Source organism: Homo sapiens, chromosome 7, assembly GCF_000001405.40.
Source record: "Homo sapiens chromosome 7, GRCh38.p14 Primary Assembly".
Taxonomy (NCBI): Eukaryota; Metazoa; Chordata; class Mammalia; order Primates; family Hominidae; genus Homo; species Homo sapiens.
The window spans coordinates 134,946,903-134,972,201 of NC_000007.14; the positions used below are offsets into that span (position 1 = coordinate 134,946,903).

At 39.9% G+C, this 25,299-nt stretch overlaps 1 protein-coding gene across 48 annotated transcripts in view; it reads left to right on the plus strand.

The window, feature by feature from the left end:
• Positions 1–23,827, plus strand: part of CALD1 (caldesmon 1) — a 259,231-nt gene extending 235,404 nt beyond the window's left edge. For 19 of the 48 annotated variants that reach the window (NM_001438770.1, NM_001438779.1, NM_001438769.1 and 16 more), the window contains 8 exons: positions 606–867; positions 3,472–3,612; positions 11,167–11,210; positions 11,307–11,388; positions 13,072–13,209; positions 13,631–13,726; positions 18,404–18,484; positions 21,438–23,827. In NM_001438770.1, coding sequence (NP_001425699.1) covers positions 606–867; positions 3,472–3,612; positions 11,167–11,210; positions 11,307–11,388; positions 13,072–13,209; positions 13,631–13,726; positions 18,404–18,484; positions 21,438–21,443 — 850 coding nt within the window. In that variant the 3' untranslated portion in view covers positions 21,444–23,827. Of the gene's footprint in view, positions 1–605; positions 868–3,471; positions 3,613–11,166; positions 11,211–11,306; positions 11,389–13,071; positions 13,210–13,630; positions 13,727–15,917; positions 16,033–18,403; positions 18,485–21,437 lie in introns of those variants that run through there. The other 29 variants (XM_047420867.1, NM_001438784.1, NM_001438765.1 and 26 more) reach the window with 10 other exon arrangements.

Genomic DNA, 25,299 nt, shown 5'->3' on the forward strand with positions numbered 1-25,299 from the left:
TCTTAAACTCCTGAGCTCAGGCAATCCGCCCGCCTCGGCCTCCCAAAGTGCTAGGATTACAGGCGTGAGCCACTGCACCCGGCCTCTCCTTCCTTTTTAAGGCTGAATAATATTCCATGGTATGGCTAGACCACCTTTTATTTATCCATTCCTGCTATGATGGACACTTGGGTTGCGTCCATCTCTTGGTCCTTGTAAATAATGCTGCTATGAACACGGGTATACAAATGTCTCTTCAAGACCTTGCTTTCCATTCTTTTAGAAGTGTATCAGAAGTGGGATTGCTGGATCACGTGGTAGTTCTCTTGTTGATTTTTTGAGGAACCTCCATACTGTTTCCATAGCAGCTGCACAACTTTACAATCCCATTTTACAGTGCATATTTGTCCCATTTTACAGCTGAGGAAACGAAGCACAAGTGGAAGAGCAGAGGCTCCTGGACTCTGTGATTCCGGGCAGACCCCTTCCCCAGCCTACCCCCTGGGCTAATGAGAGGCAGTGGGTATTTAGTCGGGGATGCAGAAGCCGCAGACCGACCTCCCCTTCCTCCAGGGAGACTACAGGCAAAAGCATGTAAACCCCTTTCCATTGCCCCCCAACCACAGCCGCCCTGGAGGGAGGGCCAGCGTGGACACCAAGGAGGCTGAGGGCGCCCCCCAGGTGGAAGCCGGCAAAAGGCTGGAGGAGCTTCGTCGTCGTCGCGGGGAGACCGAGAGCGAAGAGTTCGAGAAGCTCAAACAGAAGCAGCAGGAGGCGGCTTTGGAGCTGGAGGAACTCAAGAAAAAGAGGGAGGAGAGAAGGAAGGTCCTGGAGGAGGAAGAGCAGAGGAGGAAGCAGGAGGAAGCCGATCGAAAACTCAGAGAGGAGGTAAGGCGGGCGCTAGCCCACTGAGAACGTTGCCCGGGAAAATTCCCTAGTGCCGTGCGGCTGTTCTTTTGAGCATGGGCTCTCAAAAATATTTTTTTAAGAATAATAAACTTACCATGTGCTAGGTACTGTTTTATAACTTGTAGATGTATTAATTTGTCCACTGCTTCTAAGAACTCGCTGACCTAGGTACTAATCCCCATTTTACAGATGAGAAAACTGAGGCACAGAGAGGTTTTGTTTTTGTTTTTGTTTTTGTTTGTAACTTTCCCAAGGTCTCCCTTGAGTCTGCCTGACATGCAGGAGGAGCCCCATCATTAAAACCCTTTACTGCCTCTCAAAAAGGAAAAGTTAGAAAGCTGAAAAGGATGAAAGGTCTGCAAATTAGTTACCAGAATGAAGTTATGGTTTTCTAATAGTTGGAGAGTTTTTATAGAGAAGATTTTTTTAAATCTTTTTTTTTTTTTAATGAGCAAGTAAGTACATTAGAATATAAAGAGGCAGGGACAGTATCTGCGTTGTTCATTACTGTATACCCAGGACCCCATACCGTGCCTGACATGCAGGAAGAGCCCCATCATTATAAACAGATGGATTTGTTTCATCTTTTAAGACAGAGCTAAAAACAGCAGATAGAGTTACAAGGAGGAACATTTTGGCTCAGCATATGAAATAATGTTTAACCAACTACAACTTACAGTACTACAGTTTACAAAGTGCATTCTTTCATTTCATCCTGAGGTACATCGTTCTCATTTTATGGGCAAAGAAACCAGGAATCAAATAGTTTGAGTGACTTATTTGAAGATTCTTGACTAATAAATGGTAGAATCAGTAAGGAGACCCCGCTTTTCCAACTCAGAGCCCAGAGCTTTTGAGATAGCGATCTCCCATCATTCAAAATATGAAGAAAAAAAAAGACTTTCAATGGCATTTTGACAAGGATCCTATGCAAAATTTTCCTGAACTGTATGGAAAATTTGGATACATTATTTTGAGGTCTCTTTTAACTCCAACTTTCAATGAGCCAATGACCTTTGGTTGGGAAGTATGGGAAGTAATCAGGATGATAGAGTTTGGGGGTTAAACACACCCCAGGCTTTTTTTTTTTTATTGTTTTTTTAGACATAGTCTTGCTCTGTCACCCAGGCTGGAGTGCAGGAATGCAGTGGTGCAATCTCGGAACACACCCAGTCTTCTATCCTAACTCTGTCACTAACAAGCTGGGGCCTTGGGAAAACTGGACTACTCTGTGTCTTCTTTTCCTTATCTGTGAAATAATATCTACTTTGCAGGATTCTTCCAATAATTTAATAGATCATTGTGCTCCCAGTGCCTGGCACATTCTAGGCACTCAAAAATTAGTAGGTATCATTATTGCCATCATTGTTATTATGATTATTATTCAGAGGAGGAGAGTATCAGGAAAGGCTGAAGAGAAATCACGAAGTCTTAGAACTGGATTGGACCTAGGAGATTATTTGGGCTAAACTACCAAACACAGGATCCTTCTGTGACATCCTCTGACAGATGAACATCTAGTCTCTGCTTGAGAACATGCAGTGATAATGATCTCACAGCTTAAGAACTACCAAAGACTGCATTAAATCTCTCAGAAAATCAAGTTGTGCAACTTGATCAGAGCCCTGATAGAGAAGACAGAGTATTCTAGACTAGGAATGAAGACACAGAGGGGTTAATGAGACAGTCTGTAAACATTTGCAATTGCACTACCATGGTTCAACGTCTAGAGCATTTCAGGTTTGTCAAACCATCTAAAATTATATATTCACTTGAAGCGGGGAGCAACCATAAAATCACCTCTTGTACCATCTGGCAAATATAGTACCACAGATTTAGATAGCTTTTCACATAAGTTATTCATTTGTCTTCACAACTCTCCTAGGATGTAGGTAGAAGGAATATTCATATCCCTTTTACATATACAGAAGTGTGAGGTCATTGTTAATGACCCACAGGATGGTGGTGATTATGTATCATCCTATGGGAAATCATCATAATGAGTGTTAGTCTAAGCCAGGGGTGTCCAATCTTTTGGCTTCCCTGGGTCACATTGGAAGAAGAATTGCCTTGGGCCACACATAAAATACACTAACACTAATGATCGCTGATGAGCCAAAAAAAAAAAAAATCACAAAAAGGTCTCATAATGTTTTAAGAAAGTTTACGAATTTGTGTTAGGCTACATTCAAAGCCATCCTGGGCATGATGTGGCCCCTGGGCCATGGGTTGGACAAGTTTGGTGTAAGCATTTTACATGTGCTATCTCACTGAGCCCTCACGAAAGCCCTAAAAAATGAGTACTATTGTTATCCCTGTTTTACAGATGAAGAAACTGAGCCACAGAGCAGATAAATAACATGGCCAAGGTCAGGCAGTTGGAAAGTAGCAGCACCAGAATGCAAATGCAGGCAGCTCGACTCCAGCTCTCAGGCTAAACCTCTGGTGACCACCTAGAAGGGGAGTGTCCAGCCTGCGGCCTGAGTCTGCTGCCTCTCCAACTGTGCTCTCTCTCCTACAGCACTCTTCCCTTTGGCTGTGAAGCTGGTACTGATGCCTCGTTATTTGTTCTTTCTCTCTTAGGAAGAGAAGAGGAGGCTAAAGGAAGAGATTGAAAGGCGAAGAGCAGAAGCTGCTGAGAAACGCCAGAAGATGCCAGAAGATGGCTTGTCAGATGACAAGAAACCATTCAAGTGTTTCACTCCTAAAGGTTCATCTCTCAAGGTATTTTTTTCCCCAGAAAACTTCTATTAGAATATGATAGAGACTGGATTTTAGCCCCTTGTTTAGTTATTGATTATACAGGGCCTTTGTTCATTTATCTTTTTGCTATCCTTCCAAGTTAATCTGTTCAGGCTGCTATAACAAAATACTTTAGACTGGGGCCAGGCACGGTGGCTCATGCCTGTAATCCCAGCACTTTGGGAGGCAGATGTGGGCAGATCACCTGAGGTCAGGAGTTCGAGACCAGCCTGGCCACCGTGGTGAAACCCCATCTCTACCAAAAATTCAAAAACTAGCCGGACGTGGTGGCACACACCTGTAATAATCTCAGCTACTTGGGAGGCTTAGGCAGGAGAATCACTTGAACCCAGGAGGCAGAGGTTGCAGTGAGCTAAGATAATGCCACTGCACTCTAGCCTGGGCAACAGAGCAAGATTCCATCTCAAAATTTATCACTCACAGTTTTGGAGGCTGGAAAGTCAAAGATCAAGGTGCCAGCAGATGTGGTGTCTAGTGAGGGCCTATTCCTCATAGGTGGCACCTTCTCCCTGTGTCCTTACATGGTGGAAGGAGAAAGGGAGAAAACAGGCTTCCTTAGGCCTCTTTTATAAGGGCACTAGTCCCATTCACAAGGGCCTCACCCTCATCACCTAGTTACCACCCAAAGGTCTCACCTCTTAATACCAACACATCAAGGACTCAGTTTCAACATATAAATGTTGGACCATAGCACCTCCTTTCAGCTGTTTCACAGCTTCTCTTTGTTTACAACATATGGAAAGGAGGGACAGTAGTGAAATTTTTATCTGTTGTTTATTAGATGCTTTGGCATACATTAAAATGACATTCGGTGATTATCTCTCAATTTTACTGATCCACATTCTCCATGTGCCTCATTCCTTTGAGCAACTGAGAATAGAGACATCTAAAATTTATAAAATAGGAAAGTATATTTTAAAAGTTTAAGCTGCTTTTCATGCTAGCTGTTCATTTTTTCTTTGTCATGATTAAAAGCCAGCTGGAAATGGTACAGGTGCAAATTTTAAAGCAATTATTATGGGAGGAGGTGAAATGTGACTTGGAAAGGGTCCTTTTCCAGGATGGCTTTGGTCCTATGACAGCCTTCATGGAGCACAGCTCCTATTTGATGTAAAACAGAGTGCTGCCAAGAGAACAGAAAAGGAGCAGGAATCAGCTGAGTCAGGGAGATGATAGAATAGTTGAGATGTAGGGAAAACACAGTGGACTCAAGAAAGTAGCATCCTTGATTTATAATCAGTCCACCATTATTGCCAGTGGCAGTTTCTTTGAGAATTAACATCATTGAGCATCTAGCACAGTGCCTTACATCATATTGAAGATACTTAATAAAAATTTGTTAAATGATGAATAAAGGAATGAATCTTCAGAGATTGGGACTTTTAACATTTCATTTTCCATCAACCTAGCTAGGTTATAAAGCATCAACAATGGACAAAGCCATGAGAGAATTATACCCAGGTCTGGCCGGGCACAGTGGCTCACACCTGTGATCCCAGCATTTTGGGAGGCCGAGGTGGATGGATCACCTGAGGTCAGGAGTTCTAGACCTTCCTGGCCAATCTGGTGAAACCCCATCCCTACTAAAAATACAAAAATTAGCCAGGTGTGATGGCGCACACCTGTAATCCCAGGTATTTGGGAGGCTGAGGCAGGAGAACCACTTGAACTTGGGAGGCAGAGGTTACAGTGAGCCGAGATCGTGCCACTGCACTCCAGCCTGTGTGACAGAATGAGACCCTATCCCAAAAAAAAGAAAAAAAGAATCATAGCGAGGTCTGGATGGTTAATTATGTACATATGTGTACGGTTATATCAAGTGGCACACCAAAATGACCAAAAACTGCTTACATTTTACAGTTATTACTTGTTCCACATGAAAATCAGAATTTTTTAATCCCCAAATAACTTCCCTTAGTCTTTTTTTTTTTTTTTGAGATAGAGTCTCGCTGTGTTGCCCAGGCTGGAGTGCAGTGGCACCATCTTGGCTCACTGCAACTTCCGCCTCCCAGGTTCAAGCGATTCTTCTGCCTCAGCCTCTCGAGTAGCTGGGACTACAGGTGCACGCCACCATGCCCAGCTAATTTTTGTATTTTTAGTAGAGACAGGGTTTCACCATATTGGCCAGGCTGGTCTCGAACTCCTCACCTCATGATCCGCCCACCTTGGTCTCCCAAAGTGCTGGGATTACACGCATGAGCCACCATGCCCGGCTCACTTAGTCTTTATGATGGTCTAGGTCCCAGTCATATTTCTGATACCTCCCAAATAAATTATTTGTACTTGAACCCTTGTCTCAAGGTCTGCTTCAGGGAAAATTTAAACTAAGCCACAGAGGGATTATACATTTAATATCTGATTATTTATGAAATACTTAATGCATGCTATGTCCTATGAGGGAAAGAACAAAGCAAGGTGGCTGCCCTGATGGCTCTAATGACTGCCTCAAAGAAACAATTCAAGAATTACAAAAGTGAGCAGAGCAAAATGAGTAGAGAAAGGCCTTGTGGAGTAGGCAAGCTTTATTTATAAACTCTGAAATTTGAATTTTATGTAATTTTATTGTGCTTTTCTAATGTCATGAAATATTATTCTTCTTTTGATTTTTTTTTAACCGTTTAACAGTGTGAAAACCATTCTCAAGGCCAGGTGCGGTGGCTCACACCTGTAATGCCAGCACGTTGGGAGGCTGAGGCAGGTGTATCACCTGAGGTCAGGAGTTTGAAACCAACCTGGCCAACATGGTGAAACCTCGTCTCTACTAAAAATACAAAAATTAGCCAGGCAAAGTGGCAGGTGCCTGTAATCCCTACTCAGGAGCCTGAGACAGGAGAATCACTTGAACCTGGGAGGCAGAGGTTAGCTGGGCGCAGTGGCGCATGCCTGTAATCCCAGCTACTTGAGAGGCTGAGGCAGAAGAACTGCTTGAACCTGGGAGGCAGCAACAAAAGCAAAACTCCGTCTCAAAAAAAAAAAAAGAAAAGAAAAAGAAAACCATGTTCTCTCTTTCTACCTTCTTTAAAATCCCACCCAAGCCTTCCTTGAACAGTCTTGGTAACATGAAGAAAATAGTAGTCATCTAGACTTCCAAATTCTACTGTGGTTTTTTTTTTTTGTTTTTTTTTTTCAGGAGAAACTACAACCTACCCTACCCTCCTCTAATTATTTCTTCTCTACCAAATTTCTCAACGTACCTATTTCTCTGGTCTTTCCCTCAGCCAGATGCTGGCTTCCCATTTCATCTAGTACCCCCAGGAAGCCATTTATCTACTCCCTCTGATGGAGAGGCATTTGTCTGCAATTGATTAAAGTAGATGTATAAAAAAGGTCTAGGTTATTTTAAATTTCTATGTAAGAGAGACACATATTCAGGGGCAGACAGTCTATGCTTCCCTCCATGTATGTGCCTTGAAGAACTTGCTGTGACTCTGATTTTCAAGCTCAATTTCATATTCTACAATGTAATTGGGATAGCTATTGATACCCTTGGCCCTGCAACTTTTATAAGTGGTCACAAGTTAGCATTGTAGAATACCAATGGGAGGAAAAATATTTGCTATTTGACATCAAAATACTACCAACTACTGTATTTTTAAAAAATATCTCATGATTTCTATTCCTTGTTTGGGAAAGTCTGTACCTAGTTTTTCATCATTAAATTATGTTAGCAGTGACTGATTTTCATATGCAATAAAGAATAGATTTTAAGTAAATTAAATTCAAAGATTTTTTAATTTCTATTGCCTTTATTGGTTGGGGCAGGGTGTGGAGTAACGAGAGCACCAATTTTCTAAAACGAATGGTGTGCTTTTATTCCAAGTTTTATCGAGACAATACTGCCACCTCTTGGTCTTCAGAAGAACCAATTTCCCTTGTTAAATTCCTTAAACAGAACATTTAATATACAAATTCAGTACAAATTGTTTAGAGCCACTAAGTTAGGATATTTTCTAGCAGGAGTGCATCAGTAAACGGACAGTGCATCCTGACAAAATGTGCGAAATGCAATGATGAAGTCAGGCTATGTTAGCTATGATAGAAGCAAAAGGAGGAGTAGGAATCTGAGAATCTCGGTGATTTGAATAAATGCCATGGCCAAGGTTAGAAAGATGATCCCTGAGTCATAAAGATGCTGCAGGTGGGACAAAGAACAGTTCTCACCTCCGCTATCCCCTTCTGCAGTGCCTCTATCCTCCCACCACACTGAATTTTTCTTTATCCCCAGTCTCACCACGCTGCGTGCCTTGTGGCTCTCCAAATCTTTGTACATGTGCTTGCTTTGCCAGAAATGCCCTTTCCTGGCTAAGCCATGCACTTCCTTCCTCACTTTCATAAACTCATTTCTGAAACCATGTAAACCAGAAACTACTAATCTCAGCTCAAATATCAACACTACTGAAAAGCCTTCTCCACCTCCCCCAGATAGTTACTTCTTATACACACAGCATTTTTTTCTTTAATATTGTACCTACTGTTAATTTTTAAATATTTTATTTTATATACTTTACTAGTCTTCCCTACTAAATTCTGTGTTCCTTAAAGAATAAGACCTTGTCAGTCAGGCACAGTGGTTCACACCTGTAATCCCAGCACTTTGGGAGTCCAAGGTGGGCGAATCATGAGGTCAAGAGATCGAGGCCATCCTGGCCAACATGGTGAAATCCCATCTCTACTGAAAATACAAAAATTAGCTGGGCATGGTGGCGCGCATCTGTAGTCCCAGCTACTCGACGCTGAGGCAGAAGAATCACTTGAACCCGGGAGGTGGAGATTGCAGTGAGCCGAGATTCCACCACTGCACTCCATCCTGGCAACAGAGTGAGACTCTGTCTCAAAAAAGAAAAAGAAAAAGACCTTGTCTATCTTAGCTTGCTTAGGTTGCCATAACAAAATACCATAGACTGGATGGATTAAACAATAGAAATGTATTTCTCACAGTCCTGGAGGCTGGAAGTCCAAAATCAAGGTGCAAGCAGATTCAGTTTCTGGTGAGAGCCCTCTTCATGGCTTGCAGATGGCTGCCTTCTTACTGTGTCTTCACATGGAGGAAAGAGAGCAAGTGAGCTCTCTAGTGTGTCTTCCTGTAGGGATAACAATCCTGTAGGATCAGGGTTCCACCGCTCTGATCTCATTTAACCTTAATTACTTCCTTAGAGGCCCCATTTCCAAGTACAATCACATTGGGGGTTAGGGCCTCAACACATGCATTTTAGGGGGACACAGTTCGATCAATAGCACTATTTTATTTATTAGTATTCAATTTTATATAGAAGGTACTGAGTATATTATTTATTGGCTAATTGTTTGGCTGACAGGCTGGCAGGGATAAAAATAGGATAGATGGATGGATAGATGGATGGATGGATGGACGGACGGACGGATGGGTAATATTTATTAAAAGTGCCAGTGCATTGCATAGTTCTAAACTGTTTCACCTTACTCACCTGGGAATTTTTTCTACAGAAATATACTTCTAAGTTTATAATTAAAATCAGAAAAATAAGAGTTACTTTACAGATGTTTTATATATCCCATAAAGTCAGCACTACTTATAGTACTTTTTTGCATAGTTTTTTAAGTAAGAGTTTGCTTTTGTCTTTGTAGGAAATCATCAGAAAGAATGAAATGCTCTTACTAGTATCTATAAAACTGTTATTCAACTGATATTAGAGAGGAAGCATGTTTTCAAAAAAAAAAAACTCTGTGGTATTTATTAATTGCTCATGAATCCCAGACCAGTCTGGGTCAGAAAGAACCCCTCACATCTTGGAGAATTGTGTGTATCCCCTCAAAATTCATATGTTGAAATCCTAATCTGCAATATGATGGTATTAGGAGGTGGGATCTTTGGAAGACAATTAGGTCATGAGGGTGGAGGCCCCCTTAATGGGATTAGTGCCCTTGTAAGAAGAGACACAGAACCTTATTTGCTCCCTCTCTATTCTGCACTATATGAGGACACAGCAGGAAGGTGGCCATCTGCAAACCATGAAGAGAGGTCTCACCAGACCCCAACCATGCTGGCAACCTAATCTTAGACTTCCCAGTCTCCGGAACTGTGAGAAATGTTTGTTGTTTTAAGGCACCCAGTCTATGGTAATTTCTCACATTAACCAAGACTCACTGAGACAAGGGGCCACTCAAACATACTAGCCTAGGGCAACTAAAATCCAGTAGATTTCTTGACTGTCCTGAACAGGGAAGAAAATGGAACTTTTCAGCGTGCATGTGCTTTGGCACATGCAGTCATAAGCAAAGAAGGTATTTGCTCATGGTATTGATAGGTGATGGGTGGTAGAGGATATTTCTAGCCTGGAGTTGGGTGTGGCATGGATTCAACAAATATTTGCTTATTGCTAACATCTAAATTTAAGTGTTACAGTTTCAGTAAAATATAATGTTTGATTTAGCAGCTTCAGTTGTAGCAAAAAAGTTCCTAGCTTTAAAAAAAAAAGAACTCATCAAAGACTACTAACTGCTGATTTTTTCTATGTCCAACCCTGTTTCTCTGGGCTCATTTCCTCATTTCACACTTGGGCTAAGAGGGGCTTCATGGGAAGCCTCAGCCATTACAGATGAGCTGTGCCCCATCCTCATTCTACCTGTATCCCGCCTTTTACGTTCCAAGGCTAATTAAGTTCAGCAATAGGCTTGATCATTGACCCTTGTCAAGTTAGGAAATCAGGTTAAGCAATAAGGGACTAGTTCACATTTCCTAGTTATTCAATCCTGTTACATACCAAATACATAGTTAAAACATTATGGGAAAATTTTGTTACTCGAATAGCATGGTATGTCTCTAGTAAATACATCCTAAAGGGTAACAGTGTGTGTTTTTGAAAAAATTATTTGTTTGTTGTTGTTGCATTTTGTTTGTTTGTTTTGAGACAGATGCTCACTCTGTCACCCAGGCTGGAGTGCAGTGGCACAATCTTGGCTCACTGCAATCTCTCCCTCCCAGGTTCAAGCAATTCTCCCACCTCAGCCTTCCAAGTAGCTGGGGCTACAGGCGCGTGTCACCACACCCAGCTACTTTTTGTATTTTTTAGTAGAGATAGGGTTTCACCATGTTGGCCAGGCTGGTCTTGAACTCCTGACCTCAAGTGATTTGCCTGCCTCGGCCTCTCAAAGTGCTAGGATTATAGGTGTGAGCCTCAGCGCTCAGCCAATTATGTTAGTCTTAAACTTTAATTATTTTGCCACTGATTTATATTGTTTTAGAGGCATTTTTATTCCATTTCTGTCTGGTCTTTATTTTGCCTTGAAAACTTGATTTTTTTTTTTTTACACGTTTTCTCTATCCTGTATCAATCCTACCTTCATTCCCCCAAATCTCACTATCAAATACCTTATATGTAGTTTTGCTTTCTAGCAGAGCTACGCACAGTAACTCAAATACCCTTATATGCTCTTCGGTGTGTTTAACAGGTTCAGGGATGATATTGGCCTGGGCTGAGAAACACTGTTTATAAGCTTGAAATATTAATTGGGTTTATTTTCTTTTGTAATTCCTAGATAGAAGAGCGAGCAGAATTTTTGAATAAGTCTGTGCAGAAAAGGTAAATATGCTTGATGGTTCAATTGAGCTAATCAGCTAGCATATGTATGAGAAGATTCTCTCTCATATTTTTATATGTATGTGTTTACTTTTTTAGCAGTGGTGTCAAATCGACCCATCAAGCAGCAATAGTCTCCAAGATTGACAGCAGACTGGAGCAGTATACCAGTGCAATTGAGGTGAGAATTGTCCTCAGCGTTATGGTCCTGCTGAACAGAAATAGATTCTGACTACATAGAAGAGCATAAAAACACTTAGGACAATAATCAAGTCCAATAGCCCCAGGAGTGTTAGAATTTTTTTTTTTTTTTTTTTTTGAGACGGAGTCTCACTCTGTTGCCCAGGCTGGAGTGCAATGGCAATCTCAGCTCACTGCAACGTCTGCCTCCTGGGGTCAAGCAATTCTGCCTCAACCTCCCGAGTAGCTGGGATTACAGGGGCCCACCACCACACTTGGCTAATTTTTGTATTTTTAGTAGAGACGGAGTTTCACCCTGTTGGCCAGGCAGGTCTCGAATTCCTGACCTCAAGTGATCCACCCGCCTTGGCCTCCCAAAGCCGAATGTGAGCCACCACACCTGGCCCCCAATAGTGTCAGAATATTAATGATGCTTTATTACACTTTGAAATTCTAAGTTCTAAGAAATACAATAATAAAGATAAATTTTAGGAGAGTTTTAAATAAATTATTTTCTACTTTCAGCGTGAATATTGTTTAATGAAAAGGTTTTTTTGTAACGAATGGGTTTACTGGTATTTAAATATATATATATATATATATATATATATATATATATATTTAACTATATATATATTTAAGTCTTCTTTCAAGTATTCTGTCAAATCTGGGTTTAAATGTCACTTCCTCAGAGTAGCCTTCTTTGCACCCCCAAACTAAGTACTGCCCCCCAATTGTGTGCCATGCTTTATGGCACATCATTATTTTTCATAGCACTTAGCACAATGTGAAATAAATACTTGTATAACTAGTTACTATCTTTCCTTTCTATTAAAATATAAGCCCACTGCAGCTGACTGTCTTGTTTTTTGTTTGTTTTTTTGTTTTTTATTTTTATTTTTATTTTTGAGATGGAGTTTCGCTCTTGTTGCCCAAGCTAGAGTGCAATGGTGCAATCTCGGCTCACTGCAACCTCTGCATTCCAGGTTCAAGCGATTCTCCTGCCTCAGCCTCCCAACCGTCTTGTTTTGAGCACGACTGTATCCCCAGAGCCTAGCAAAGTGCCCTTCATACAGTAGGCATTTAAGAAGTATTGTTGAGGCCAAGTGTGGTGACTCATGCCTGTCGTCACAGCACTTCAGGAGGCCGAGGCAGGAGGATCCCTTGAGCCCAGGAATTTGAAACCAGCCTGGGCAACATAGGGACTATGCCTGGCTAATTTTTTCATTTTTTTCTCTACAAAATAGAGAGAGGCCTATGGTTCCAGCTACTCGGGAAGCTGAAGTGGGAGGATCACTTGAGCCCTGGAGGTCGTGGCTGTAGTGAGCCTTGATTGTGCCACTGCACTCCAGCCTGGGTGACAGAGCAAGACCCTGTCTCAAAAAAAAACAAAAAAGTATCTGTTGAAGAAACGAAGTAGAATATCAATTTCACAACAAATGGTGTCCCAACAAAAAGCATATTTCATTTTTGAAAGATCCTCTGATCTAGCTGTGATGGTTTATTTTGAGGGACATATGTCATCAGCATACAGTTTTACAACAGAAATTATCACTCTCATTTTTGGTGGAGGTGTTTACACAATGAATTTTTAAGATGATAATGTTGAGGAAGACAAACTCACTATAATTTTATGAGAACAAACTTCCCAGCACCAATCCTAAAAATAACTCACAAATTTCAGGGAACAAAAAGCGCAAAACCTACAAAGCCGGCAGCCTCGGATCTTCCTGTTCCTGCTGAAGGTGTACGCAACATCAAGAGTATGTGGGAGAAAGGGAATGTGTTTTCATCCCCCACTGCAGCAGGCACACCAAATAAGGTGAGCATCTGATTTTTGTCTCTTAAGTGTAGAGGGGCATATTTTTTTGCATGTCGATTTTGATTTAGGAATCACACTAGTAAATAATAAAAGCAGTGAAGAAGGTGCAATTTGTACTTTGTTTTGCAATGACCACAAAAGCAAGCTCAGAGAGAATGTGTTTGTGAGGTTGCATGAGGTACTAAGCCCGGGCCATCTTACTCCAAATAAAGTGCCTGGGCTGAAATGTCCACCCTTGGAGTTGGAGTGGGGTGAGTTACCAGGGAAAGAAAACCAGATAACATATTCTGTAAATATCAAGTGTTAAGGTTTATGGTTATGTGAAATCATACTTAATGATATTTTGAATTTGCTTTGAAAATTCCTTCCCAGGTAAAGTTTACTTCATTCTTTAATATTTTGGATGATTGCCCCTTTGTAGGAAACTGCTGGCTTGAAGGTAGGGGTTTCTAGCCGCATCAATGAATGGCTAACTAAAACCCCAGATGGAAACAAGTCACCTGCTCCCAAACCTTCTGTAAGTACCTTTAGGTTTTTCTGAGTTTCTTTGATCTCCCAGCTTCTACCAGCAGAAGAAAACAAGCAGTTGGTCTGTTTACCTAGGAATGGCAGTGCCCCTGTTCTTTGCTTTCCCTGATGAATAGCAAACAGGAAAGTGTTCAGATTTACAACAGTTCTAAGAAGCTGCATCTCAGTTACTCAGAGGGTAAAATGGAACCAAATAATCACCTCTACACCCTAACTGAGAGGAGGAATCAGCTAGAATACTGAGGCAGTTCAAATTTAGATCCTTTACTCGTCTATTTGTTTAGCTTCTATTCTATAAATTCTGGATAGAAATTTGAAAATGAAAGGTCACATCATTTTGGCTACTTCTTTGTCAAGAGCACCCCTAAACTTATTCCCAAAAGAATATGTATGTTGCCTATTGGGAACCCATATGTTCCAATTTGCCTCATTTTTATAACTTGGCACAAAAATGCAGTTATTGGGTAGCTGTTGAAATAATTGGTCTAATTGTGTTGTCAGCACCTCCTGAGGAAAGTCATAAAACTGGAAACTAGAAAAACTGGTTATGAATGATGTTTTTGAGAATCTAAAATTTTCTTAATTTATTAAGTGCAGCTATCTTACTAAAAAGTACATTTCTTTTCACCTTTTTGTTGAATGTATACGACAATTGCTTGCATTTGTCATTATAATAAGAAAACGTATCAAGCTCCCCACTGTATATTGCTGAGCTTTCCCTGTTAAGTTTGCTTTTATAGCTTTGTTGGTGCCCAAGGGAGCTGAGAGTCCACTGTCATAATCCTACATTCTAGAGGAAGAAGAAAAAGTTTCCAATCCTAGGCCTCTGTGCATTTAATTGCATCCATTGGCTCCATGCCATTTAATTGCATTTGTTGGCTCCATATATAATCTCCAAAGTCATTAAATTTTGTCACTTTCCAATTTAAAAAGGAAGAAATGGAAATGTTCACAAATCCTTCTTGGGCACAACTCCTTGAACCGTTTAATTAATCTACACCCCGAGATTCTTTGCATAAAGGCTCACAGGAGGTATACACTAATGTCAACCCAATTTACAATTGGAAAATCTTTATACATTGAAAAAAGCAACTTTTCCTCCCCCTCTCAATAGGTACAAGAATGCGGGTTTATAAAAGGACACAGTTGAGGCAAGAGACCGGACCCAAAAGTTATGTGCTCTTTAGTGCCTCAAGTTTTCCAAGCATCTCTGGTAACATAAGGAGTAGAAATTATTTTCAAAAACAAAATAATCACTGGTTCCAGACCAGTGATTATTAACCCTTTTTGAATTATGAACCCCTTTAAAACCTAATGAAATTTAAGGACCCTCTCCCCCAAAATATACATATAAAAAAACAAGGCAGTCTATGGACCTACTGAGTAACTCTCAAGATAGTAAGTAAGGAGAGAAAGATCTATGTTTCCCTCTTTGATAAGTATGAAATATTTGGAGGAGATGCTAATTTTTGCACGTTTATGATATTTGCAATCTTTCATTTTTGTAGCAGATTATACTCAAAAATTTGATCCAGAACTTGGCCCCTATTCTTTTATCAGCACTTTAACTTGTAAACTGAAAAGTTTACCATCATCTGTATGACATCCTAATGAGGTTAAAAAGATAAAATGCAGTTATGATTATGATAGGTATAACTGTATCCAGGTTTCCACAGCAAAAACAAAACAAAACATACACCATGTTCTGGGGTTATTGACAGCCTCCTAAAAAAAAAAAAAAAAAAAAAAAGGCATTGCAGAGAAATTACAAAATCATTGCCTGCTTTACCTACTAATTAGTATGTGACTTGCTAGATCACCCCCTAGAGGGTGAAGAAAAGGAAAGAAGAACATGGCAGTTAGTATAGATTTTAGTGAGATCCTTCTTCCCATTAGATTTTGTAGACTAGTGTGGCTTCCTGAATGAGAACCAGATGGAAGAAAGTTCTATGAAATCAATGTTGTAAATACACCAGATTGCTACTGGGATGTCCCTTGCTATTTGTGGGTAGAATTTATAGGATTTCAGTGTAACTTTGTAACTGCAATTCAATTCTGAGTATGTCTGTTTGAGCTGGTTTGTCTATTCTTTGTGTCTAAACTAATGTTACACAGAAATTAAAAAGCTAATTTGTCTTTCTTTTTGTTTAAAAAAAAACAACCAACAATGTCTTTCTCAGCTGACCTTCTGTTCCTCACTCTTTGGTCTCTGGTTGATTGGAAACCTGCTTCTCCTGCCTTCATTTCTCCCTCTTCTTCCGGAGTGGGTCTTTCTCTAAAATGTAGTCTGGTCAGGTAATTCCATTTATATTTCCCCTTTGATTTAAAATGCCAACTTATAACTCAGATGTTCATATTTTCTTAAAAGGACTCTTTAAACTCTTTAAGTGATCTTGAAAGATTCATCGGCAGGATTTATGGGAAGTGCAATCCATTTTCTTAGGTAGAAGAACGTGCATGAGAAGGAAAAATATTTGTCTCATATGAATCAAATAAACAAAGCGATAATAGCTGCTTTCCAGAGCTTCCCTCAGCATGTTCCTAATTATAGTTTCCAAAATTTTAAAACAGTCTTCCAGACAGTTTGGCAGCTTCCACCTACGCTGGCAAATGTAGTGGAATTCTACAAAAATAATCTGATTTGTTGCTTAATGGCTCCAAGTTAAATAGGTGTAACTCTCTAATAGAATATCAGGAATTCATGCCACAGAGGAAATCCAGAAACTCAGTAAAGTTTAGGCAAATCTGAAATGCTTCACAGGTATCATTTAACTGTGCATTTTCAGTGTTACAATCTCAATACTATCTATCAGAAATATGTCCATTTAGATCAGTGTCCACGGGTAAATGCAATTGCTGTTAGCTTTGCCTTCCTCCTGAGAAAAGGGTTTGCCAAGATAAGCATTACTATTTCAGTAAAACACATTTATTTTCTACAAACTACCTTTTGCCAAGTACTAATATAAGCAAATGCTGGAAGAAAAGTAAATTGAAACAGAAATTTGGATCCTTATCCAAATGAAATTAATTAGGAGGTAGTAAATAAAGACTCTAAGCTGTATAACTGTTATCGATCATATTTTAGTGTTTCCATCCCAAGATTTCCACATGTTCTTACACATGTCATCAACTGTCAACTTCTCGCATGGGTTCAATTTGTGATGAATGTTTATATTTGCTAGGTTCTACTGATCCACTTCTGAATTACCCACTTGCCCCTCGGGAGACACATAATGATTTTAGGGTGAGGAAAATGCTGCTAGAAAAGGGACTTTGTGGCTGGGCGCGGTGGCTCACGCCTGTAATCCCAGCACTTTGAGAGGCTGAGGCGGGCAGATTATGAGGTCAGGAGATCGAGACCATCCTGGCTAACATGGTGAAACCCCATCTCTACTAAAAATACAAAAATTAGCTGAGCGTGGTGGCTTGTGCCTGTAATCTCAGCTACTTGGGAGGCTGAGGCAGGAGAATCGCTTGAACCCGGGAGTCGGAGGTTGCAGTGAGCCGAGATTGCGCCACTGCACTCCAGCCTGGGCGACAGAGCAAGACTGTCTCACAACAGAAAAAGAAGAAAGAAAAGTGACTTTGTTTGGGCTGCCCGGCAACGGATCCCAAGATAGTGATTCCAGAGCAAGTTGTTTACGTGGAGGTGAAGAAAACCCTACAGGGGCTGAGGTTGGGAGAAGAAGGCAGTCCTCACAGAAGGTGTTATTAAGCAAGTCCCCACATGGACTGTTAAACTTTCATCCCATGGAGGAAATCCTGGAAGCCACCAAAGAACACATACTTCAGAGTTACCCAAGCTGAGGCGAGAGTGAGCCTGAAAATAATATTGCACCAACATTCACCAGTCAGCCATTGAGGACTGCTCCTGGGGATGTTATAATAACTCTCTCAACTTTCCAGCCTGCCCCTGGGCAGGCAAATCAGGCATCTGTACCCAGAGAAAGTCCCTAGGCAGAGAAGCGCTGTGTGGGCAGTTGGCAGTCAGGCTGGTGTGCACTAAAGTAGTAAGGGCTGGGGGGAAAGAGGTGAGTACAAATTGAGTTCATCTGTGAGGCAGGAAATGCTTATCAAACCCCAAATTAATCATTTTTAAATAACCCATGATCTATTGACTTGTAAGAGTGCAGAAATTTAAAATGAGGCTACATTATTTTAAACATGCTCCTGTTTCACTTTTACTGATCAATAAACAGTAAGTCCTTAGGAAAGGGCAAGGACCCCGAGGCTATAGTTCCAGCCCATTCTCATATCATAAGACATGTCACGGTCTATATAAAATCAAACAACAGCTAACCCCATCTCTACTACACATACAAAAAAATTAGCCAGGCATGGTGGCACACGCCTGTAATCCCAGCTACTCGAGAGGCTGAGACAGGAGAATCACTTGAAATCAGTAGATGGAGGTCGCAGTGAGCCAAGATCACGCCACTACACTCCAGCTTGGGCTACAGAGTGAGACTCTGTCTCAAAAAAAATAAAAAAATAAAAAAATCAAACAACAGCTGATGGTCCTTTCAATTCCATTTCAGATCACTGGGGTAAAGTGTATTAAACAACAAACTGATTCAAATAAACAATAGATGTGGCCATTTATTTAGAGCTGGCTAGAAAATATAAATGGCCACCTATCGATGTTTTTCTGCTTCCTTTTTATCAGGACTTGAGACCAGGAGACGTATCCAGCAAGCGGAACCTCTGGGAAAAGCAATCTGTGGATAAGGTCACTTCCCCCACTAAGGTAATCTATTGGGAAGACTAGTATTTCAGAGGTTTGTTTTCCTGATGTATGGTGTAGTATAATGTCCTGGAGTCAGATGAGAAATATCACTGACCTACAGATCTTTGCCTGCACACCCATCAGTGTCTAAAAGACCAGTACATAACACAGTGAAATGAAAAGCGCATTGCAAGTTTGTCAGTCATACAACATAAACGGCCCAAATCCATGGAATGGTTCTCAGTAGGACATTCTCAATACACCACAGTGGTAGGAACATTGGCAGCAGAAGGCCGTATGGGATACCATGGTCTACGTTTCCTTACAAGGTCCCAGCTTAGTGCCACAGTCATTTAAAAATCACTTGGGGAAAACATCTGTCTCCCTGAGTGTTTCCAAAACTGCTTTCTGGAACCATTTTAGATTACATTGCCACTGCCAGCAGCCTAAGACTCAGGGTTGCTATGGCCAAAAAAAAAAAAAAAAATATTCAAAAGTAAGGCAACCATTTACCACCCTGTGAAAATGAATGATTAAGAATGATTGGGTTCCTCTTACTTTTAGTCTTCTGGTCAAAGGATATGGTCATTCTTCAGAAAGGAGGCTCTGAAGAACATCTAAATGATGCTTACACTGCAAATGGGACCCTTTGTGGTACAATGAGCTCATTCAACTCCCAACTGTAGCCTTTCCCCATTTCAAGTAATAGACCTCGTGTTCTCCTTCAATAAAAAGAAAATTAAAAAGGGAGAAACTGGAGACCAACAATAAGCAAGGTTAGAACAGGCTGCTTATGGGTTGATTTAAACAGAAGCACTTCGTAAGCAAACTCAGGACTAAAGAGCACATCAACGGCAACTAGAGAATCACTACAATTCACTGCAGTGAGAGAATTACCTTCCCTTTCCCACTTTCTCATGCTCTTAGTTCTGGTGCAGCTACCTAAACATATTACCCCACCTTCACTATTAGCTACGTATTGCGCTTTTATTCCATTAAAATCCACTAGCCTTTCTAAGTCATTGCTAAACATATGAAAAGTACCTGCTGGTAATTATCACATTGCTAACTACTAGCGCTACAAGTGAGCACCCCACTATATGCCAGACACTATTCTACCTTCTTACCCTCCATTATTTCATTTGATCCTCCAGTCACCATGTGAGGTAAGTAGTTTATCATTCTCATTTTGCAGCTGAGAAAAATGAGGCATTGAGAGATGAAGTAACTTTCCCAAAGTCACACAGTGAATAAGTAGCATAGCCTGCATTGATACTCCAGCACCTGATCCGAGCCTGCATTTTTAACCATTATACATGGTACTTTCTTTTAGGATGCATATTCAGGAGAAAATGTATAGTTATTCAATTCCTTGTATAATTTTCTCTCGGTGGCAGGGGAGAAAAGAACTTTCTTTGTTATTTTTTAAACAAAGAATGAGCTTGTTGACCTAAGCTTTTATGACCTCTCTAGCCTATGCTATTAGCGCATTGCAGGTTTGTCAGCCATGCAATGTAAATAGCCCAAACCCATGGAATGGTTCCCAGGAAGACATTCTCCACACACCACTGTGGGAGGAACATTGACAGCAGAAGGCTCTCCTCTCAGACCTCTGAGAGGTATCTGACTTCTCAGAATGGCAGTCCCAGTGTTTATATAGGTTCCTGTCTGAAAAGCAGATGTCAGCTGGCCATAGACCATCATCACCAGTATAACGGAGTCTCTCTGGATAACATTCCTCCTAGCCAGAGCTCTGGAAAGTGGAACAAAGATGATGTGGAATGGTCAGACTCAGAGAACACCACTCACATACAAACATGAATGGTACTCCCTGGAGTTATGTAGCACCAGGGCAGTACAAGGTAGGAGGGTGACAGTGTGAGTTTTCATGTGCCACTAACTTCTTTCTACAGTAGTAATAATATAACCACCAGACCGAGAACTGAGTTTATGAGGTAGCAGATTAGGTACCTCTTTTGCTCCAAACTGTCAAACTCATTTCTTGTTACTCAGTCATTCCTTAGAAATGAATACAATGAACACCCTTGAAAATTGGAATTCACAACACTTTAAGATTTCTTAATAGCTTGGCAAAAATTTTTAGCAACTAGCTGAGGGGGAGAGAATGGTGTAAGAATAGGACTATAGGTCAGATAAGTCTCGTGGGGTAGGGGTGTAAGAATAGGAGGGAGAAAATAGAGATTGCTAGATTAAAAATGGGAGAAAACTAAAGATAAACATCCTCCTTCACCATCATACATTGATGTGGCCCTCACTGAGCTATTCAGTCGCATGTGCCTGTTCTGGAATACACACTGTAGATTTTTGGCTCTTACAGTGGGGCTTAAAAATGAAAAAAACAAAGCAACTTACTTGACTCTAAATGCTATAAGCAAGGCCAAAAGTTAAGACAGGAAAAGAGAACATCAAGGAGAAAGACAGGAAGAGGGAAGTGAAAAAAATCAGCAGAAGGAAGGCTAAAATAAAATAAGATCCAGCCAGGCGCAGTGGCTCACACCTGTAATTCCAACACTTTGGGAGGCCGAGGCAGGCAGATCACTGGAGGTCAGGAGTTTGAGATCAGCCTGGCCAACATATAGGGAAACCCCGTCTCTACCAAAAATACAAAAATTAGCCGGGCGTGGTGGTGTATGCCCGTAATCCCCAGCTACTCAGGAGGCTGAGATGGGAGAATCACTTGAATCTGGGAGGCAGAGGTTGCAGTGAGCTGAGATCACACCACTGCACTCCAGCCTGGGTGACAGAGCAAGATTCCATCTCAAAAAAATAAAAAGTAAAATAAAAGATCATATTTGAATGGAATGCCGATAATAATCCTCCCTTTCATAAATATTTATTCCTGCCATACTATTATTCATTTTTCTTCTGACTATAAAAACCATCTGCCTGAAACACTGCAGGCTGTCAGTTTCACACTACAGGCTGTCAATTTCAAGTTCTCTTCTCTTGGCAGGTTTGAGACAGTTCCAGAAAGAACCCAAGCTCAAGACGCAGGACGAGCTCAGTTGTAGAGGGCTAATTCGCTCTGTTTTGTATTTATGTTGATTTACTAAATTGGGTTCATTATCTTTTATTTTTCAATATCCCAGTAAACCCATGTATATTATCACTATATTTAATAATCACAGTCTAGAGATGTTCATGGTAAAAGTACTGCCTTTGCACAGGAGCCTGTTTCTAAAGAAACCCATGCTGTGAAATAGAGACTTTTCTACTGATCATCATAACTCTGTATCTGAGCAGTGATACCAACCACATCTGAAGTCAACAGAAGATCCAAGTTTAAAATTGCCTGCGGAATGTGTGCAGTATCTAGAAAAATGAACCGTAGTTTTTGTTTTTTTAAATACAGAAGTCATGTTGTTTCTGCACTTTATAATAAAGCATGGAAGAAATTATCTTAGTAGGCAATTGTAACACTTTTTGAAAGTAACCCATTTCAGATTTGAAATACTGCAATAATGGTTGTCTTTAAAAAAAAAAAAGAAATGTACTGTTAAGGTATTACTTTTTTTCATGCTGATGATTCATATCTAAATTACATTATTATGTTAGCTGACAGTGGTACTGATTTTTTAGGTTGGTTGTTTTGTGGATTTCTTTAGTAGTGATAGTAGCCTGAACCACATTTTAGATAACTCAATTATGTATGTATGTGCATACACATATACAAACACACTAATGGTAGAATGCTTTTTTATGTGCTAGACTATTATATTTAGTAGTATGTCATTGTAACTAGCCAATATCACAGCTTTTGAAAAATTAAAAAATCACACTATATTAATATTTTATATTTGCCAACAGAAACATGGCAGATAGGTATCAATATGTTTTCAATGCCTGATGACCTATAAGAAGAAAGTATTGAAAAGAAGAGAGATTAGAACTGTTAGAAGGAGTTGAAATTTTCTAAAAGACATAGTATTTAGTTTATAATTAAATGCATTCTTGAAGTCCAGTGTGAATTTTATTAATGCTATCATCTCGACCAAGCTCAAAGCCTACTTATTAGAAACAATGAAGTTCACAATAGGTCATAAGGTCTCTTCCTTTTCTAAAATTGAAAGACAAGAAATTTAGTGCCAATATTGTACAGACAGAAATTCCATGTATGAGTCTCAACAAAGACTACCTTTGGCTAAATGTCTAGAAGCAGAGAAGTAAAGTGAGCAAAATCCAGTGTTGAGGAGTCATGACAGTACTTTGATCTTTATATACTCTGAAGCATTTCTTCAAACTTTTCTACTTTTATTTGTCATTGATACCTGTAGTAAGTTGACAATGTGGTGAAATTTCAAAATTATATGTAACTTCTACTAGTTTTACTTTCTCCCCCAAGTCTTTTTTAACTCATGATTTTTACACACACAATCCAGAACTTATTATATAGCCTCTAAGTCTTTATTCTTCACAGTAGATAATGAAAGAGTCCTCCAGTGTCTTGGCAAAATGTTCTAGTATAGCTGGATACATACAGTGGAGTTCTATAAACTCATACCTCAGTGGACTTAACCAAAATTGTGTTAGTCTCAATTCCTACCACACTGAGGGAGCCTCCCAAATAACTATTTTCTTATCTGCAGTATTCCTCCAGAAGAGCTAACCAGGGCAGGGCTGGCATGAGAAGTGACATCTGCGTTACAAAGTCTATCTTCCTCATAAGTCTGTAAAGAGCAATTGAATCTTCTAGCTTTAGCAAACCTAAGCCAAAGGAAGGAAAGCCATGAAGAATGCAGAAGTCAAACCCTCATGACAAAGTAGGCACAAGTCTACAATAAGCTAAATCAGAATTTACAAATACAAGTGTCCCAGGTAGCATTGACTCCCGTCATTGGAGTGAAATGGATCAAAGTTTGAATTAAGGCCTATGGTAAGGTAACATTGCTTTGTTGTACTTTTGAACAAGAGCTCCTCCTGATCACTATTACATATTTTTCTAGAAAATCTAAAGTTCAGAAGAGAATGTATCACTGCTGACTTTTATTCCAATATTTGGATGGAGTAAGTTTTAGGGTAGAATTTTGTTCAGTTTGGATTTAATCTTTTGAAAAGTAAATTCCTTGTTTACTGGTTTGACTATAATTCTCTGTTATCTTTACGAGGTAAAACTGCAAGCTGACTAGCATGTTCTGTGAATCTGCCATTCCTAAAAATTTTATAAACACTTGATACTTTTCACTGATAATGGATCGCTCCAATAAACATATATTGTGAAAATGCATCCACAATAAATGGAATTCCTTCCTGCAAAATGTCTTTTTCTCACTTATTTTTATGTACAATATTGATAGTGAGAGGTATGTCTATTATAATAAAGATTATGGCACAGTAAAACCTGTATTTCAGGTTGAGTCTTGGTTTCACTCTTTAAAGAAGAAAAGCATTTTCATATTTTTAAATTACCTAATAAAATATAGAAAATTGGTCTTATGTTGACAACTGACCTAACACGTATGGAAAAGGTTGAAGAGGGATTTTGCAAATCCTTCCTAAAAGAAACTATCGTCCAGGCACAGTGGCTCACGCCTCTAATCCCAGCACTTTGGGAAGCAGGAGGATTGCTTGAGCCCAGGAGTTCAAGACCAGCCTGGGCAACATAGCAAGACCCCTTTCTGTACAAAAAAAATTAAAAAGCCAGGCATGGTGGCATATGCCTGTAGTCCCAGATACTTGGGAGCCTGAGGCAGGAGGATCGCTTGAGCCCAGGAGGTCGAGGCTACAGTGAGCCCTGATAGCACCACTGCACTCCAGCCTAGGTGACAAAGCAAGACCCTGTCTCAAAAAAAAAGTAACTATCGATTGTCCCTCCATCCTCCTTCTCATTGCCAGTGTTGTCACATACCAGCCCCTCTGGCTCCTAAGATGGGCAGTACTGTTTTCTCAAAGGTAGTGTCTCTTATATAGAAAGACCCATTTAATATATACCATTCATTTGTAGAATACTTACTACTTACAAGGCACTGGTGATTACATGTGAATCCAAAGTTATTTTTTCATGGTAATTTTGCATATTTATGTAGCACTAATTGGTCTGAAATCTGAAGTTCTCATAAAGGTTTTAAACTGTGGGTTCGAAGCTCCTGAACAGTTCCCTCAACCCTGCCTACAAAATTGACACAATGAACTAAGTTACTATAAAAAAATTAGTATTTTTATTTCTGTGTCCTAACAAGAAGGGTGATAAGTATAGACAATAATATAGTTATCAAAATCAATTTGCAAAATTAAGCAATGGAAATACAATTTGTAATACCAACACCAAACTGATAAGATTAGGGGTGAATGGAAATTAATTTTACAATATGTATATTCAGGATATGAGCTTGAAAACATACTAGTGTCTTCTGTGATGTCAAAACAGGTCTGTATTAAAGGTTTTTTCCTACCTTTGCTTGCATGTATGCTCCAAGTGGAAGAATGGATAAGAAAAAAAGATCTCAGTCCTAAATTTGTGTTCTTCCATTGGTGTTAGGAGATAACTAACAAGGTTTTGATTTTAGTACAGTGTCTATTTGTGTCAAGTCTATTAATCATGTTGTCCTAATATTCTATATCCTACTGACTTTTTCCTTATCTGTTACTGAGAAAGGAAAGTGAAAAATCTCCCACTATGATTATGGATTTGTCTATTTCTCCTTGTAATTCTGTTAATTTTGCCTTCCATATTTTAAGGTTATTTTTTAGGTGAAATATTCAATTCACTAGGAAGACATCATGATTCTAGATCTTTAGCTAAAGATCACTCTGAAGTGACCATCTATTTGTGCAAAGACTTTTGCCTTCAAGTTATTTTTTTCTATCCTAAAATTACC